Source organism: Homo sapiens, chromosome 15 (genome assembly GCF_000001405.40).
Source record: "Homo sapiens chromosome 15, GRCh38.p14 Primary Assembly".
Lineage (NCBI taxonomy): Eukaryota > Metazoa > Chordata > Mammalia > Primates > Hominidae > Homo > Homo sapiens.
The window spans coordinates 34249183-34269150 of record NC_000015.10 but is presented as its reverse complement, the minus strand read 5'-3'; the positions used below and the strand labels follow the sequence as shown (position 1 = coordinate 34269150).

Here is a 19968-nt window from a genome sequence, read left to right as displayed (position 1 = left end):
CGCAGTGGCTCACACCTGTAATCCCAGCAGTTTGGGAGGCTGAGGTGGGTGGATCACCTGAGGTCAGGAGTTCAAGACCAGCCTGGCCAACATGGCAAAACCCCATGTCTACTAAAAATACAAAAAATTAGCCAGGCATGGTGGCAGGCGCCTATAATTCCAGCTACTCGGGAGGCTGAGGTAGGAGAATTGCTTGAACCCTGGAGGCGGAGGTCGCAGTCTGCTGAGATTGTGCCACTGCACTGCAGACTGGGCAACAGAGCAAGACTCCGTCTCAAAAAAAAAAAGAAAGAAAGAAAAAAAGAAACATAATAGTAATCTGACAGGTGATGTAATGCAAACCATTACTGAGGCCAGTCTCAGTGGGGATCCTTCAAAGGAGTCATTTTAGGATTCTGAATAATCCTAAAAGAGCCCTGGAATATGGATTTGGTTCTTAGTTCCTGCAGAGTAAAGATTATTTGCTACTCAGAAACTAGAAGTTCCATTCCATCTGGTATTTCTTGGGGTCACAACAGTGACCTAAACTTTTGAAGGCTGAACTCTAAAGCAGCATGGTTTCCCACCAAGATATTCAAGCCAAAAATTAATCCTTGCCTTTCAATATAATCACTTCTAATTTCATGCCTTTTGGTATAACCACACTTGATGAATGCTTCATTTCTTGCCTTGGAAAGCCTTGACCTTTCATGACTGTCCACAAGCCATGATTGACCAGGAACTCTTTGGGAGCCTCCCATTGCACAACACTACCACAAGTAGACCATGAGTAGGACATTATTGGTTGGAGGCATCATTGGTCTCATAAAATGTAGACAAAAATCTCCAGGGATATTCTTCTACCTTTCTAAAAAAAGTAAGCAAGCAAATGGAAGGTGGGCCAGAAACAGCCAGGATCCAGACTGTCTGATGATAATAAGACAAGGCAAGCCAGAGCTGCTAGGAGGTGGCTTGGACAGCAGGTAGCAGAATGGGACAGGATTGTCTCATGCCAGATTTTTGTAACAGCATCATTGTAAGGTTATTGAATAGCAGAGAGGTAGTATGTTGAACTCTTACTTCCATAACCCTCAAGAGAAATGACATGGTCCTGAGTCTGGGATACAAAATTCTATTAAATGTTTAAATCAGTAGAGGATGCAGTTAGGAAGATGAGCAAACTCCTCAGGAATAAAAGACTGTTTAAAGAGAAGGAAAATAAATGGAAATTCTAGAAAAGAAAAAATATATATAGATATAAAAAAGAAATTAAACAGTAGCTTAGTAGTAGGTAAATAGCGTAAACAAAAAGAACTACACCTAGATACATCTTAATGAAACTGCAGAAAATCTAAGAAAAGATCTTGAAAGCAGCCAGAGAGAAAGGACAGTTCATCAAAGGAACAACAGAATGACAGAAGAATTCTCAGTACCAAAACACAAAGTTACAAGCCAGAAAACACAAATAAGTGTACACAAAAATTTTGTAGAGACAAGGTCTCACAATGTTGCTCATGCTAGTCTCAAACTCCTGCCCTCAAGCAGTCCTCCTGCCATGGCCTCCCAAAGAGCTGGGATTACAGGAGAGGGCTGCTGCGCCCAGCCTGGAGACATCTCTGACAGTCACTACTGGAGGTGCTACTGGCATCTAATGAGTAGAGGCCAGGGATGCTCTTAAATATTCTACAGTGCACAGGACAGTCCCTCACAGTAATTATTTGCTCCAAAATTCCATAGTGCTGAGTTTGAGAAACCTAAAGGAATTCTAAGGAATATACCTCAAGAAAGAATAAAATGATCCTAGAAGACTAGTAGTCTGAAATGTAAGAAAGAGTAGTGAATAAATGAACTAGTAAACTTGTACATCGACTCAAATCAGTGTTGTCTCAATAAAACAACTCTAATATCTTATTTATGGAGTTTTTTTTTTTTTTAAAAAGAGACTACTGGGAACGTTGGACACCAATATTAGGTAAGTCAGGAGGAGAAAATTGGAATTGAAGTATTAGAAAGTCTTCGTGTTGTTCAGGAGGATGTCAAGCAATTGTTTAAACTTATTTAACAATTTAAGATATATAGTAAAATTTCAAGGGTAATTGCTGAAAGAACAGAAATAGAGAATGGAAACTAGAGGGGAAAATGTCATTAAGGAAAAACAAACCAGAAAATCCAAAGAGTGGGAGAGATAGAGGATGAGAATGAGTCATAGAGAAAAAACAAATAAAAAGATGTTAGAACCCTGTCTAAATATATTAATCACTAAGGTTGATGGACTAAACTTGGCAGTTGAAAAGACAGATTGTCAGACTTTTAAAAATCCAACCCAAACAAATAGATGATAAACTGTGTTGTTTAAAATGCCAATAAATTTGGAGGTAATTTGTTGAGCAAAATAATAATAATAACTAAACAATAGATGTATGTCTAAAATTGTTGTGCCAGCCAGGCCCGGTGGCTCACACCTGTAATCCCAGCACTTTGGGAGGTTGAGGCAGGCTGATGGCTTGAGTCTAGGAATACGAGGCAACATAGCAAAACCTCATCTCTACAAAAAATCCAAAAATTAGCTCTTCATGGTGGCATAAGCCTGTAGTCCTAGCTACTTGGGAGGCTGAGGTGGGAGGATCTCTTGGGCCCAGGAGGCTGAGGCTGCAGTGAGCTGTGATCGCACCACTGTACTCCAGCCTGGGCGTAAGAGTGAGACCCTGTCTCAAAAAATAATAATAATGATAAATAAAATTGGCATGACTTCTTGGTGGATTAAACCTTTTGTTATTATGTGGTATAAACAAAACTGTCATGCCTTCTTGGTGGATTAAACCTTTTGTTATTATGTGGTTACCTTCTAATACCTAATAAAATGTTTCTCATAAATTTATCTGATACTAATAAAATTATATCAGCTTTCTTTTGGTTAGTATTTGCCTGATATATCTCTTTCCTTAATGTTTTCTTAATGTTCAGCTTTTGTATGTCCTTATATCTCTTATAAATAGTATATGTCTAGATTTTATTGTTTAATCCAGTCTGTCAATCTTTGTCTTAGTCTATTTACATTACTGGTTTTATTGATATGCTTGGACCATTGTGCCATCCTAAATTATTTGTCCCACTTTTTCTGCTTCTTTATAATCTCTTCTTAAAAAAAAAAAAAAAAAAAAAAGCTTTCTGTATTACCCCTGCTTCCCAAATGAACTATTAGCACACTCTCACATTACTCTCTCCTTTGGAAAATCTATCCATTAACTAACTTACGTGGTCTGGCTCCTTTCTGTCTTTCTAAATATGCTCTCCTTTCCTCACTGTCCTTTAGCTATATTGTCCTTTCTGCTTTATGAATTCACTTGAATTGGTTCTGCTTTAGGATCTTTTAAAATTGCTGTGTTCCCTCTGCCTGAAATGTAGGCTTTTCCTTACTATCCTATGCCAGGAGTGTGCTGCAGCCAGCTTATACCAGCTCACAAGAGCCAGTTAATGCAAATCTCTTCCCAAAACCAGGTTCATTGTCTTCACATTAGTAGTTTGAAAATGGCCATGTGTGAGTATTTATACCACAGAAATTGTCAAGTACTGTAAGTCGGATTTGTTTTAATTCTTTAGAGGCTGTTATCAGCACACCAATGATCTTACATGAAGTCGTCATTCCCCTCCCTAGTCACAGTCTCTCCCAGTACCTATTTGATTTTCTTCCTTGAACTTACCACTTCTTGAAATTCTTTTTGGGTTTTTTTGTTTTTATTTTGTCTTTTTTGTTTGTTTTTTTTTTTTTAATTGCTGTTGTTGTTTTTACTTACTTTCTGTCTTCTGTAACTTCAGTATATGCACAGTAAAGGCAGGGTCTTTAACTGCCATGTCCACTGCTATATCTCTAGGACCCAGAACAGTATCCAGTACATCCTAGGAATTTAATAAATATTAGTTGAATAAATGAATTACTCAGAAGTGGTGATAATTTTAAGCTATACTCTTTTTTTTGAGACGGAGTCTCGCTCTGTCGCCCAGGCTGGAGTGCAGTGGCACGATCTCGGCTCACTGCAAGCTCCGCCTCCTGGGTTTATGCCATTCTCCTGCCTCAGCCTCCCAAGTAGCTGGGACTACAGGCGGCTGCCACCACGCCCGGCTAATTTTTTGTATTTTTTAGTAGAGACAGGGTTTCACCGTGTTAGCCAGGATGGTCTCAATCTCCTGACCTCGTGATTCGCCCGCCTCGGCCTCCTAAAGTGTTGGGATTACAGGCATGAGCCACTGCACCCAGCCTAAGCTATACTCTTTAGAATTTTCTGGAGCCATTAAGAAGAGGAAAAGAATTACATTTTTCTATTTATAACTTTTTGTTACTGAAAATATCAAAGGTACAGAAAAGTAGAATAGCATAATGAACTTTTATGAATGCATCACCCAGCTTCATCAATGTTACAAATCTGTTTTGAAGACCCTACCTAATTTTTCCCTAAACTGTTTTAAAGAAAATTCCAGACATCATATGATTTTACTTGCCCTTTTTAAAAAAAAGAGTGATATATTTTCTCTTATTTTTTGTTTCAAAAATGCCTTTTTACCTTTGATGTGTTGAGTCAGGATCCTAACAATGTTCATTTGCAATTAGTTGATATGTCTTTTAAGTCTCTTTTATCTATAAAAGTTCACCTTTTAAGTTTATGCCATTTATTTGCTGAAGAAGTCAGATCATCTTGTAAAATTTCTCACATTCTGAATTTGGTGATTAGATCCTTCTAATGTTTAACATATTCCTCCTTTGTGTTTTCCTTGAACTGATAGTTAGATTTCGAGGCTTGATTAGATTCAACTTCCATTCTTTTGGAAAGAATACATCATAGCTTGTACAGTGTATTTTTCATTGTATTACAGGAGATTGTGTTGTCATACCTTCAGAGATGTTAAAGCTGATAAGCAGGCTCCAGATCAGCCTGATCCATCCATTGTAAAGTTTTGCCTCAGCCTTTCACCTAATGGTTTTAACAACCATTGATTATCGTTGCCTAAATCTGTTATTTTATTAGTGATTTTTTTCTGTCATTCCATCTATCATTAATTAGCTGGAATGCTTCTATAAGGAAGAAATTTTCTTTTAATTATTGGTTACCCTGAAATACAGTTGGCACAAGAAAGGCAAGATGATTGCTTACTTCTTTCCATTTTTTTTTTTCTATTTATTAATGTCATTTTTCAGAGTCATGTGTTGTTTCCTTAACCCCGCAAAGGTGACTTTTTCAGAATATCATTTTGAGTATTTCATAAATTTGCATTTCAATCCATCACATTATTTATTTTTAATGTTTGTATTATTCCATTTTGGGGCATTGGGAACCCCTTCAGTTTGGCTCTGTGCCCTTTGATGTGACCCAGTAATTTTGATAGTTTATTGACTGTTTCTCAAGCCCATCCTTATACATTTAAGCTTATAGGGTTTTTAATTCTTTAATTTTTATATTGGTATTTATTTCCCCAGTATTGAAAATCTTGGCTTTTAATAGCATTTATGTTTTTTTTTCTCTTCTCTCCTTCCAGACTCTGTAATTATATAACTTTTGCATAATAATGAAACAAAGTTAAGGAAGTGCTCAAATAAAGTTTGCTGTCTTATGGGCCTGGTCTCCTTTTTTTCCTCATAGCTCTTTCACCGAATTTTTGTCAGATGCCTCTTTTAACATTAAAAAAAAATGTGGAAGGGTTTGTACAAAAATAATAGTTAAATGACATAATTTTTTTTCTTTTTTCAACTCCCCCACAAACCTGCCCCGAGACAGGGTCTCACCCTGTTGCCCAGGCTGGAGTGCAGTGGATCAGTCACAGCTTACTTGCAGTCTTGAACTCCTGGGCTCAAGGAATCCTCCTGCCTGAATAGCTAGAACTATAAGCATGCACCACCATGCCCTGCTAATTTTTTAATTTTTTTTGTTGAGGCAGGGTCTCAATGTTGCCCAGGCTGGTCCAGAACTCCTGGACTCTAGCAGTCTCCCACCTGGGCCTCCCAAAGTTCTAGGATTACAGGCATGAGCCACCATGCCTGCCCTATTTTTTTTCAACTTTTATTTTGGATTTAGAGGGTACATGTACAGGTTTGTTACATGTGTATATTGCATGATGCTGAGGATTGGGGTATGGGTAATCCTTTCACCCAAGTAGGAAGCATAGTGACACAGGATTTTTCTTGGCCACTTTGCCAGCCAGAGACCTCCAGCCAGCAACATCCATGCCCAGGCTTTGCTCAGGCCCGAGCTCACCAGAAGAGATGCCCTGTCTATTCATCCTGCTGGGCTATGCCTGGCTTGCGCTCCAATGCAGATCCTGCAGCCGTGGCAATTGCGCACTGGTGGGAGGGGGTGAGGGAGTGAGCGAGTGCAGTGTCCAGCTGGCTGCTCCAAGCAGTGAGACAGAAGCGGGCTGTATGTAGGGATTGCTGCTGGACCAGGCATGTCACACTGAGGGGAACATGGTGGCGCCCAGACGGGTGTCCGCAACCCTGAAACCTCAGAGGGGGTGTTACCGTGTGCTAATAGCTCTTTTAGTCCCACCATCTGCAGCCCCATGGATGGCGGCATGTTAACAGCTCTGTCTGTCCTGTCGCCCCTGCTCCCGCCCGCTGCTGCTTCCCGTCGCGTGGGGTAGCTGCCCTCCACTGGCAGAGCGTGGAGGGCCACAGTATTACAGCCTTCTTTGTACCTGTGTTTGGTGGGTCCTGAGTTCTTGTTCCACATCCAAGAAGAATGAGGTTGTGCTGATATCAAAGGGTGAGGAGGGCGGAGAATAATTTTATTGAATGATGAGAAACAATTCTCAGTGGAGAGGGCATGCGAGGGTGGTCTCTCTCATTGGGGCTGGGGCTGGGGCCTTTATGGGCTCAGAATAGGGGAGTGTATGCTCATTGGTTTGTGAGTATGCAAAAAAAGGCTAAAACAAAGGCACACAGTGTAAAAAACCAATTAGGGAAGGGTAGATATATGTAAAATAGGTAAAGAGTGGAGAATCAATTAGAGGAAAGTATGCCAAACGGGAAGAGAGGTTCTCAGTTCAGTCCATGGATTTATCCAGGACTTGTAGCTAGGCTTTAAACTGTCTTTGGCTTGAAGGTTGGGTTTCAATTGTATGTAATGAACATACAAGTGCATGTGTCTTTTTGGTAGAATGATTTATTTTCCTTTGGGTATATACCCAGTAATGGGATTGCCGGGTGGAATGGTAGTTCTAAGTTCTCTGAGGAATCTCCAAATTGCTTTCCACAGTGACTGAACTAATTTACATTCCCACCAGCAGTGTATAAGCATTTCTTTTTCTCCACAGCCTTGCCAACATCTGTTATTTTTGACTTTTTAATAATTGCCATTCTGACTGGTGTGAAATGCTCATCACTGAAATCATCAGAGAAATGCAAATCAAAACTTCATATAATTTATAAAAGGTCAGACAGCTGTGGAGGCAGAGAGCTTTTACTGTCATTATCAGCAGCAATAGTGTGTAAAGGAGACTACATCTAACACAGTATTATACCCTGAGTATATACTCAATATCTTTTTTTCCTCCTAAACTTAGGTGACTTTAAGAGTAGAGTCTCGGCTGGGTGCAAGTGGCTCACGCCTGTAATCCCAGCACTTTGGGAGGCTGAGGTGGGCGGATAACTTGAGGCCAGGAGTTTGAGACCAGCCTGGCCAACGTGGTGAACCCCTATCTCTATTAAAAATACAAACAAATTAGCTGGGCATGGTGGTGCGTGCCTGTACTCCCAGCTACTTCAAGGCTGAGACAGGAGAATCGCTTGAACCAGGGAGGCGGAGGTTGCAGTGAGCTGAGATTGCGCCACTGCACTCCAGCCTGGGCGGCATAGCAGCTCCATCTCAAAAAAAAAAGAGTCTTCATGGGCTGGAATTCCAAAAGAATAGCGTCTCTAGGGGTCTTGATTATTGTTAAGGAAAGGAATGACCCATGTTTACTTCTCAGAGTTTTCTTTTTGTTCCTGCTGGAGAGTTTTATTTTGTTCCATATTCTCCAAGCAGTGCTGATTGAGTTCTAAGATTAAATTTGAATATGAAAATGGGTTATATTAATACCGAAGCAACCTGCACTTATCTGGTGCTGATGTTTCTTCGTCAGAAACCAGTGAGAAACTAACTTGGTCTACTTTTTTTTTTCCAGACGACGGACATAAGAAAGCTCGAAATGCTTATCTCAATAATTCCAATTATGAAGAAGGAGATGAATATTTTGATAAAAATTTGGCACTCTTTGAGGTAATATTTTGGAGAAAACTATGGACTGAGACTTTAGGAACAGAGATCTCATGATAGCCATATTTTACCCCATTTGGTTTAAAAATTTTACAAGCTGGATAATTTAATGTTAAAAGAAAATATTGTAACTTGTTATTATAGTAAATTTTGTCTGTGTAATCTAATTATAGTGAGTAACTATTAAATCAAATTGTTATGTAGTAAGGAAGAGGAGTTTGACTTCTTGGACATATAGATTACCTTGCAATCTAATTCAGCTGTGATTTAATTGTTTTTATTAGAATAATCTTTCTTCTAACTATAAATCAGTGTATTTCTCCACCCTTTGTCTGGAAAGACTATCATTTGCCTTAGAACTAACTAAACAAGGCCGGGCGCGGTGGCTCACGCCTGTAATCCCAGCACTTTGGGAGGCCGAGGCGGGTGGATCACAAGGTTAGGAGATCGAGACCATCCTGGCTGACACGGTGAAACCCCGTCTCTACTAAAACTACAAAAAATTAGCCGGGCATGGTGGCGGGCGCCTGTGGTCCCAGCTACTCGGGAGGCTGAGGCAGGAGAATGGCATGCACCCGGGAGGCAGAGCTTGCAGTGAGCCAAGATTGTGCCACTGCACTCCAGCCTGGGCGACAGAGCAAGACTCCGTCTCCAAAAATCACTGTAGGAAGCAGGCTTCCAGATTAGCAGGACCTTCATGTCCTTTTTTTTAATTGTCAAATAATAACTGTATATATTTATGGATTACAATGTGATATTTTGATATTTGTATGCATTGTGGAATGATTAAATCAAGCTAATTAGCATATATATCACCTCGTATACTTATCATTTTCATGGTGAAAATATTTGAATTTGACTTTCTTAGCAATTTTGAAATATACAATATGTTAACTATAGTTGCTATGCTGTGCAATAGATCTCAAAAACTTATTTCTCCTGCCTAACTGAAACTTTGTATCCTGTGACTAACCTCTCCCCCTTCCCCTACATACACCCCAAGCTTTTGGTAACCACCATTCTATTACTACGAGTTCTACTTTTTAGATCCCACATGTAAGTGAGATCGTGTGCTATTTATCTTTCTGTGCCTGGCTTATTTCACTTAACATAATGAAGAGGACTTCTATATCTTATCTGAATAAGACAACATGGACTCTGTGGCCAGGCTCCATAAGCTGTGGCCAGGTTGTTGAAAGGAGCCTGGTTTATTTCAGCACTACCTTTTTCTGGCCTTTGACAATGATGCAAGTGCCACTTCTCTCAATGTACCATTTTTAGTTTGTTTTTGAGACAGGGTCTTGCTCTGTCACCCAGGCTGGAGTGCAGTGGCACGATCACAGCTTGACCTCCTGGGCTCAAAGGACCCTCCTACCTCAGCCTCCCTAGTAGCTGGGACTACAGGCATGTGTCACCACACCTGGCTGATTTTTAAATTTTTTGCAGAGACAGGGTCTCACTCTGTTGCCCAGGCTGGTCTTGAGTGCCTGGGCTCAAGCGATCCTTCTGCCTTGCCCTCCCATAGCATTGGGTTAGCAGGTGTGAGCCACCATGCCCAACTCAATGTACCAATTTTTTTTTTTTTTTTGAGATGGAGTCTCCCTCTGTTGCCCAGGCTGGAGCGCAGTGGCGCGATCTCGGCTCACTGCAACTTCTGCCTCCTGGGTTCAAGCTGATTCTCCCGCCTCAGCCTCCCGTGTAGCTGGGATTACAGGCACGTGCCACCACACCCAGCTTATTTTTGTATTTTTAGTAGAGACGGGGTTTCACCATCTTGGCCAGGCTGGTCTCAAACTCCCAGCCTCAGGTGATCCAGCCACCTTGGCCTCCCAAAGTGCTGGGATTACAGGTGTGAGCCACTGCACCCGGCCTACCTGTGAAATATTTTTTCATTTAATTTGAAGTTTTCTGGTAGCAAGATTATTTTGATACTTATGTTCAGTGTTCTTTGTAGCTCATTTCTTCCATGTCACTGGCTTTATAGGAAGAAATGGACACCAGACCGAAGGTGTCTTCCCTCCTCAACCGCATGGCCAATTACACTAATCTGACTCAAGGAGCAAAGGAACATGAAGAGGCAGAAAACATCACTGAAGGGAAAAAGAAGCCCACCAAGGTGAGGCCTCAGAATAACAAGGAATACATAGAAAGAGCCCTGTATATAAGAAAGAAGGAAATACCTAAGGCACCATTCTGTGTTCAGCAGCTATTTATTAAATGCTTGAGAGGTGCCTGGAACTGTTCTGGGCACCAGCGTCATAGCACAAAGAAAACATATGATGCAGTCTAAATTCTGATGTGGGGATACAGTCCTTAAGCTGTTTTAACTGCCAAAGTATATAACATATTAAGTGTTGATAAATTCCCGAGCAAAAAATTAAGCAGAGTAGAGAGACTGAAATTGGCAAGGGATCCAGAGTGGAGGGCGTTGCTACTTACATAGGTTGGACAGGGAAAGCCTTTCTGACAAGGTGATATTTGAGGAGAGATCTAGCTGATGGGAGGGAGTGAGCTATGTGGGAAAAGAGCATTCAGGGAGAGGGAATAGCTTTTCAAGAGAAGAGTGTCCATACCCATCTGCTGATGCCATCTGTCTGTTGTGAAGTTGTTGGGTTTTTTAAACACCAAACATCAGTTTGTCTCAAAATGAAAATATAAGACATTCAGTTTACCATTCTGGTTGTTCAGCCCTTTCAAAAAGGGATAAAACGGCCCTCAGATCTTCATTTTGCCATCTAATTTATTTACTAACTACTGTGAAGAATTTATGCCAAATTCTGAAGAAATTCCATCAAGTCCTTATTGTTTTTAAATGAAAAAAGCCAACAGCTTTGAAAAACAAAATTTTAAATTGTTGTGGGTGCACATAAAAGTTTATTTGTGGCCAAATGCCTATGTATAATAAACACATGCAGGAACCTTTGTAAAGTTAAAATATATAGCTTTAGGAATAATAAAAGTATGGTGATAAACACTTGAAAGATGGAGATTTTATATGTGCCCTTTTGAAGGTATTGATTAAACTTATGATTTCTGCTTGGAGGTTAATATGGTAGTTAGGGAGCAAGTTATTACATAAAAGAATAAAAACCTCTCTTTAGGATAACTGTGTGATTTTTTATCAATGTCTTTCTTTCTAGACCCCCCAAATGGGTACCTTCATGGGTGTCTACCTCCCATGTCTACAAAATATTTTTGGAGTGATCCTTTTTTTACGCCTTACATGGGTGGTGGGCACAGCTGGAGTTCTTCAGGCTTTTGCAATTGTCCTTATCTGCTGCTGCTGTGTAAGTACTGCACTGGCTCCTAGAGATCACCTGAACGTTGCAAGTTCTCAAGAGCAGATGCACATGACCTCTTTGGGAATAAAACAAAGAATACTTAGGGAAGGACTCATGATCTCAACAGAAGAAATTATTCTGATATTAAAATCTAAAGGATTTTCAGTTATTCAGTGCCTGTTAGTCACTGCTTGCTATCTATTATATGATGTACTAGAAATTACAAAGCAAGACTTCAACTGAAAATGGAAGATAAAGTTCCTGTCTTCAGAGAATTCAGAATCCAAACTATTTGAGCTTGATAGCACCAAAGTTGTGACAGAAAATGTGTTAGAAAATGTGATGTATCACTCCAGTATATATTGAGAAACAAGACAGGTTATTGCGGATGTGAGGGGTATTTGGTTTTTTTATTTGGTTTTGAAGTTTCTTCCCTTATCCCTTCCTTAGAAATTTAGATGTTCTTTCCAGGTCTTCTCTCTACTGAGAACATTTTTATCTTCCTTTAATTTAAACTTCTCATTATGTATCCCAGACACACCTATGAATTTTATAGTTTTCTACTGTCCTTTTTTATCACTATGACCTTTATACCCTACCTGTATATTATCCCCAGCTGATGAGCAAAACAGGTTAAGCAGGCACAGTTCATATTTTTAATAACTTAAAATGTTCATGGTACCACCTTTTTTTAGTCTCAGGCTTAAAACCTCAAGGCTGTGTTTGGCTTCTTAATTGCTTTTCACATCTAATCAGCTACCAACGCTAATCTATTCTCTGAAATCTTTTACACTCAGCCCTTTTTATTCACACTACCACCACTATAGTTTTTACCTCTCACTGAACTACTATGGTAGCCTGCTAACCAATCACTCGGCCTCCAGCTACTCCTATCTGCAGCGCATTCTATACTGTGCTACCGGGTAATATTTTTAAAATGCGGTTCCTGTGTGCTCAGAAGCCTTCAGTGATTCCCTTTCTTACTGAACATTGTTCTTGATATTGTATTTAGTCTTTAGTCAGGTTCTAACCTATTTTCTGAGTTATTTCTCTAGTTCTTCCTTTTGAGTATACTATGCTCTATTTCCTGTGTAACTAGGAAATCCAGAGTGAGATTAGCAGTTCTTAATAGCACCTGACCTACTGATGTGGGAGCATTTTGACAGAATCCTCCAGATATTAGTGGTATGACTAGCGCAATGAATTGGACCATATCATCTTATTTCCATACCATTAGGTATGACTGTCCATAAAAGTAGGTAGAGTTAAATGTTTGCCAAGTGCTCTTGGAACACAAATGGAGAAGTAGTATAGAAATGTCATCTTTACACAGTAACAATCCTCTCCTTTCCTTTTCTCTGCAGACAATGTTGACTGCTATCTCCATGAGTGCCATTGCCACTAATGGAGTGGTGCCAGGTTAGTAGGTCAAGGTTGTATTTCAGGATTTATCAGTGTTGACTCTGTGTTTATGCTATAAAGCTAGAGGTGCAAACTTCTGAAGAATAGAATACTATTTGGTCTGTTCTGTGCTACAACAGAGTAATGGTCTATAGGACGTAGACATAATACTACTTGACTTTAAGATGCCGTCTTTAAAATCTCTTTATTTTTTAAACTAGAATGCATTAATTTCAGTCACATTCTTAGCTTTTATTAGTTGGAATATATATTTTTTTATAGACAGAGTCTCACTCTGTCACCCAGGCTGGAGTGCAGTGACACGATCATAGCTCACACAGCCTCCAACTCCTAGGCTCAAGCTGCTTTCCCACTTCAGCCTCCTGAGTAGCTGGAACTAGAGGTGTACACCACTATGCCTGGCTATTTTTTTTTTTTTACAGAGGTGACATTTTACTATGTTACCCAGTTTGGTCTCAAACTCCTGGCCTCAAGCAATCCTCTCGCCTCATCCTCCCAAAGTGCTACCATTAGAGGCGTGAACCTCCACACCCAGCCAGAATATATTTTATTGGGCTGTCTCATGTCATAGTAAATATTCTCTAATTTTTTTCTAAGTAAATGCTGGCAAACTATTGCTTCATATGGCTCATTACATTAGTTGTGCAGTATATCCCACAATAACACTTTCACCTTTTACTTCCCACTAGCACATCTTTTTATCACATTGAGGGTTTGCAGAAGCCTGAAACATTTAACCTTTATGTATATATTTTTTCTTATTTCTGTTTTATTCATATTCCTCTTGCTAATACACACTCTTTCTTCTATTCACCTTCTGTTTTGTCTTTTAGCTGGGGGCTCATACTTTATGATTTCCCGGGCACTGGGCCCAGAGTTTGGTGGGGCTGTTGGCCTCTGCTTTTATCTTGGTACCACATTTGCAGCAGCCATGTACATCCTTGGTGCCATTGAAATCTTTCTGGTAAGTAATGACTTCATTGTGGTCTATAATATAGAAGAAATATTGATTTAGGTTTATTCTTTGCTATGAAAGCTTCTGAGAGATCAGCTGTGGGAATAAATCAGGTGATTGACTGCCAACGTCAGTTGGCCTCTTACATGAATATGAGGTGGAAAGGTTGAAATTCTGTTTGCCTGCCTGTCCCTTCCTTTCTACCTGATTGCCACCACTCTGCCACCTCATCCAAGAGGTTCAAGTCCAATGGGGAAAAAGTAAAATAAAGTTTATCTTTTTTGATATCTTCATCCCTATGAAATAAAATGCTTCTCATATCTCTCTTCACTGAGACATATTGTTTACTATTTAAAGTAGTGATAGTAGAGTCAGGGTTAAAGATCATCATTATAATTACTTTATATAACCCTATGAATAAAATTAATAATTTGTTCCTTTCCTTTCTTTCCATTTGGAAATGTAGTTATTCAGAACAGCATGTAGACCAAAAAAAAAAAAAAAATCCATGACATCCCATTTCTGAAGGCATTTCAGATCCTATTAGAAACTAGGCTAATTCCCCAGTCATTTTCTCTCTCAGCTTTGCTTTCTTTTGTGAAAGTAAATGCAAACGAATACAGCCTTTTTACTTAATTATTTTGAAATAACCTAATTTTCTCCTTTATTTTTACCTAACAGGTCTATATCGTCCCCCGAGCTGCCATCTTTCACAGTGATGACGCACTCAAGGAATCAGCAGCCATGCTAAATAACATGCGTGTCTACGGCACAGCTTTCTTGGTCCTTATGGTATTAGTGGTATTTATCGGCGTACGCTATGTGAACAAGTTTGCCTCACTTTTCCTGGCCTGTGTCATTGTGTCCATCTTGGCCATCTATGCTGGAGCCATCAAGTCTTCTTTTGCTCCTCCACACTTCCCGTACGTGTCTGTCTCTCTGCCTAGCCATCCTTATTGGGTAGTAATTGAAAATATCTGGTGGTGTGATAATTTTAAGTCAGAATTTCATAGAGTCTCTCTGAGATTTTCCCTCTCAGATAAGCCCAGTTAGACTTCCTTCCTCATCTAGGCAGGAAGCCTACCAGCAAACTATGTCCCGTTCATCCTCTTTCTTATGTCCTAAGCATAGAACTAGTAGCTGTAACCATCATTTAGGTTCAGATATTAGATTTTTTTCTCCCTGATAATTGTACATAATCTTTTTTTATTATACACATTTTGAACTATTCATAAAGGGCTTTGCAGACAGTGTAGTTATTGCCAGCAACCTTTATAAGGCCCACCTTGGCCTCCCGACGTGCTGGGATTACAGGCGTGAGCCACTGCGCCCAGCCTAGGTCAGGGCTTTTATCCATTACCCAAATAATGTACTTTGTACCCATTAAGTACTCTCTCATCATTCACCACCTCCTTCAACTCCCTAGTGCGAATACTTTAAAGTATGTTTTTTGAAGTAGTAATGGATTTGTGCACATCTGTGACTCACAGGCTCACTTTTCCCTTTGACTAGTGGCATAGGGACTAGCTGGCACTCAGTGTTATTTGTAGTCTTGTTACAGAATTATCTTGAAGAGTCATCTGGATTATCTGAGGATCAAACTCATCGGTTCTATGTTGATTTAACCAGATTACAGAAAAAAAGATTTTTCAAGACAAAAAGACAGTTCCAGTAGGTTTAATGACTTACCTCAAAGTTAATTAATGGCAGAGCAAGAAGATGAACTGTGATTTCCTGACTCCCCATTCAGTATTTCTTCTATGCTATGCTGCATGATGGCAGAAGTAGATTCCATCTTAAACTTTTAATCTGCTTATCTAGGGACTGTAATACAGCTGAAGGTCCTTTTTAGGGGCATAAAATTTCTAAAGGTGACATTCTGGTTATATCTCAATTTGGGAAATTCCATTTTGTCTCAGGTTCACCTTTGGGGCTTCTCCTCTTTTTTGATTAGTACACGGTCATAATGCATGGTATTTTCTTTGAGATATTCCAGCAAAACAAGACAAAAAATCTAGAATAATACATGAAACAAGACTGGGAAATGTTGAGAGTTGTTGAAGCTGAGTAATAGGTACATGGTTCATAATAATGTATTCAATCATTTTGCAAATTTTAGAAGTCCCTTTGTTGGACCTGAGAGGTATTTTAACTATGGATGTATTATTCCTTTGTTTATATTTGTGTCTCTGGGTTAAAGAAAAAAGTAAAACCAGCAGGTTAATATTTATGTTATCCTTACCGTCACTCCCACTGAGTCTAGGCTTAAATTCAAAAACAGTTTTCTCTTAGGCCATAGAGGGATCTGCCTTTTAATTCTGACCAAGCTGTTTTCCTTGCAACAGTAGCCAGAAGATTCAACCTTTAGCATAACATTTTCAAGGTGTTTGTTATGAATGTTAGGCTTTTCTAGGCCAAAAAAAGAGGAGTGCTTTTTACTTTATAAGAACAACAAAAGGACTTCAGTATTCTTTTAGACCTAACAATTTTAGCCAAAAATTTTGGAAGATGAGTCAGCATAATGTCTTCAGACAGTTCTTCAATTTGACTTCCTTCACTGCCACCACCTATGACCTTGGACAGATAACTGTATTTCCCTAACCTTCAATTAACTCCCTGTCTTCCTAAACTTCAGTGCCTCCATCCACAACATAGAAATTCTAATACATTGTGAGGTTGCTGTAAGTATTAAATTGGCAGAAAATGTAAGTCACCATTCACAGTGTTAAAATAAATTATAAATAAATAAACATTAGTTCCTTTCCCACCCATAACAGTAGAAGCTCTTAAAGATGGGGTTCTTGTTTCCTTTACTAACCTGTTTCCTTTTTTTTTAATGTACTTTTTTTCCTTACTTGATCTTTCTCCCTATTTCTTTTCACTTAGGGTCTGCATGCTGGGTAACCGCACCCTTTCATCAAGACACATTGACGTTTGCTCTAAGACCAAGGAAATTAACAACATGACAGTCCCATCAAAGTTATGGGGATTCTTCTGTAACTCGAGTCAATTTTTCAATGCCACCTGTGATGAATACTTTGTTCACAATAACGTCACTTCAATCCAGGGCATTCCTGGATTGGCTAGTGGTATAATTACAGGTAAGTTAGGGAGTTATTGGACAAGTTTTTTCCTATTTTCTGGGGAAAATAGGCCTTGTCATCTTAGATTCCTCTACTGTCCATAAAGATTCACTGCCATGGTGCTAATTCCCTTCTTAAGCACACCACACAGCTCTTAATTCACCATATTTCTGCTTTTCCATTAGTAAAGCTGTCCTTATTCAGTACTCCTTTACAGAGTGATGTCTGCTAAAATTCACCTCCATTTCAGAGCAGAGTTGAGCAAATCACTTTCTAACCTTACGGTAAAATATTCCGTGTATTCTTGTAAAATTGCCAATGTTCTTCCTGCACTGACAGAATAGACCTGTTTTAATGTCCACATCCACATGTATCTTCCTAACTTAGCTAAATTCCTGAAACATTCCTTAAGTGTCTTCTATTATAAATGTTTGGTCTATAAATTTCTTTGCACATAAGTAAGTTTACATTAAGGTGTTAGAAACAGCACTGATGACAAATAATAATGGGATTTGTGGGGCATTTAGTTTTAGTCTGTTTAACTTTTACTAATTTGCATTAGTAAAGTTAAACTATATTTGCATGTACCAAATCATTTTGTCAAATTATATTTAAATTAGATAAGAAAGAACATTATGTTTAGCTGGGCGCCGTGGGTTATGCCTGTAATCCTAGCACTTTGGGAGGCCTAGGTGGGAGGATCATGAGGTCAGGAGATCGAGACCATCCTGGCTAACATGGTGAAACCTCGTCTCTACTAAAAATATAAAAAATTAGCTGGGCGTGGTGGCAGGCGCCTGTAGTCCCAGCTACTCAGGATGCTGAGGCAGGAGAATGGCGTGAACCTGGGAGGCAGAGCTTGCAGTGAGCCAAGATTGTGCCACTGCACTCCAGCCTGGTGACAGAGTAAAACTCTGTCTCAAAAAACAAACAAACAAAAAAAAAACTATGTTTTTATTTATGTGTGTTTTATTGTGCAATGTGTGTGTATACATGTGCTCATGTAGAAGCAAACACACCTTTAGAAACTGTATAAATGAGGAGCCTGATTTTGAATGTTTGGGTAGAAAATTAATTATCTTTTTTTTTTCATACTGCTGCTGCTTAAATTCCCATTTTTCCCACTGCAGAGAATCTTTGGAGTAATTACCTACCCAAGGGAGAGATCATCGAAAAGCCTTCAGCCAAATCTTCTGATGTCTTAGGCAGCTTAAACCATGAATATGTTCTTGTTGACATCACCACCTCCTTCACGCTTCTGGTGGGAATCTTCTTTCCCTCTGTTACAGGTAAACACATAGGCTGTTGTATATTTTAGAAGCTGTCAGACCCACGGAGTGATTTTTCTCAGGAGGCAGAATTCTCAGGGTTCCTAGATTTGCTTCTACTCTTTGCTATCAGTATCAATATCAAAGTGTCCAAGAAGTTAACTTGGTTTTTTCCCCCTTATCTCTAAAGGTATCATGGCTGGATCAAACAGATCTGGAGATCTGAAAGATGCTCAGAAGTCTATTCCGATTGGTACTATCCTTGCCATCCTGACCACCTCCTTTGTTTGTATCCTTTTTATGGATCCAGTCTGAGTCTTAGTCATAGGAGCATCCAGTAGAACTAGATGATCAGTATTTTTATCCTGGTAACAAAGATACCTGCTTTCTATCACTTCACTTCTTGCCAGATTATCTGCCTACCTCATATAGAAAATTCAAAAAAGAATTTATAGGAGTATTTAGCAGCTCATTTTACTGACAGAAGAAAGTGTCTACTGAGTGTCTACTTTCTATCTCATGTTAGAGGGTAAACAACAGTTTCCTTGACTCTCAATATGGTAGATTTAAGCAATGTTGTCCTTTTTGGTGCATGTATTGAAGGGGTTGTTCTCAGAGACAAGTGAGTAATGAATTTCTTTGTAACAATTATGTGTGTGTCTGCCATGACTTCTGATCATTCCACATAGCTCCAAGACAGTTACAGACTCAACACAGCCAGGCACCGTGGCTCATGCCTGTAATCCCGGCACTTTGGGAGGCCAAGGCAGGTGGATTGCATGAGCTCAGGAGTTCAAGACCAGCCTGTGCAACATGGCAAAACCCTGTCTCTACAAAAAGCACAAAAATTAGCCAGGTGTGGTGGTGTGCACCTACAGTCCTGGCTACTTGGGGGACTGAGGTGGGAGGATCACTTAAGCCTGGGAAGTCAAAGCTGTAGTGAGCCATGATTGTGCCACCGTACTCCAGCCTGGGTGACAAAGTGAGACCCTTTCTCAAAAAAATAACCCAACCTGAGTTATCAATCATGACTAACAATAAGAAAATATATGAATGTAGTTCCCAAAGGGGCCAGTATTTTCAGTGAATATATGAGACAGTTAAATACAGTCCTTCAAAAAAGCAGTGAATGTGTCTGAATAATGAGGACTTCCCTGTCCATCAAGAACTGTTCAGAAACGAGACCAAAAGTCAAGAAGGGCAAGTAAATAAAATTTCAAGTGTCTCTAGCATCTCCTTTATGAGAGATAAGTATCTAATTGTGTTTGGCATTCTAAATAAAAGCCTGAAACTTACTTTCTTCATATTCTGTTCTTTTCTCTTCTCTTCTTTTCTTTTCTACTTATTTATTTAGAGACAAGGTCTTGCTCTGTTGCCCAGACTACAGTGCAGTGGTGCAGTGACAGCTCCCTACAGCCTCAACCTCCTGGGCTCAAGTAATCCTCCCGCCTCAGCTTCCCAAGTAGCTGGGACCACAGGTGCATACCACCACACCCAGCTAGTAGTTTTTTTTAATTTTTTTTGTAAAGATGGGGCCTTACTATGTTGTCCAGGATGGTCTGAAGCTCCTGGGATCAAGCAATCCTCCCACCTTAGCCTCTCAAAGTGCTAGGCTTATAGGCATGAACCAACACACCCAGCCCTTTCCGCTATTATTTTATTAAAATTTCCCATACTACACAGATGTATCCTCTATTCTTTATCCACATCACTCACTTTGTACAGACCTTCAGGATT

General features: G+C 39.6%; 1 protein-coding gene across 11 annotated transcripts in view, besides 1 other annotated feature; it reads left to right on the top strand.

Annotated features, from left to right (window-relative positions):
- The window catches only part of SLC12A6 (solute carrier family 12 member 6), a 108274-nt gene that overhangs the window by 68907 nt on the left and 19399 nt on the right, over positions 1–19968 (top strand). For 9 of the 11 annotated variants that reach the window (XR_931960.4, NM_001042495.2, NM_001042494.2 and 6 more), the window contains 10 exons: positions 8131–8225; positions 10207–10338; positions 11363–11509; positions 12868–12922; positions 13759–13889; positions 14562–14803; positions 16767–16981; positions 18094–18252; positions 18422–18520; positions 18796–18853. Coding sequence is in view for 10 of the 11 variants with exons in the window: in NM_001042495.2 (NP_001035960.1) it covers positions 8131–8225; positions 10207–10338; positions 11363–11509; positions 12868–12922; positions 13759–13889; positions 14562–14803; positions 16767–16981; positions 18094–18252; positions 18422–18520; positions 18796–18853 (1333 nt within the window). In the remaining variant the exon portion in view is untranslated. The remainder of the gene's footprint in view (positions 1–8130; positions 8226–10206; positions 10339–11362; positions 11510–12867; positions 12923–13758; positions 13890–14561; positions 14804–16766; positions 16982–18093; positions 18253–18421; positions 18521–18795; positions 18854–19968) is intronic. The other 2 variants (XM_006720793.5, XM_047433396.1) reach the window with 1 other exon arrangement.
- Positions 11437–11637: a silencer, noted in NCBI's record as "peak2292 fragment used in MPRA reporter construct". NCBI's record gives its function as "represses an SCP1 promoter by STARR-seq MPRAs in K562 erythroleukemia cells {active_cell/tissue: K562}" and the evidence as "EXISTENCE:reporter gene assay evidence [ECO:0000049][PMID:32103011]".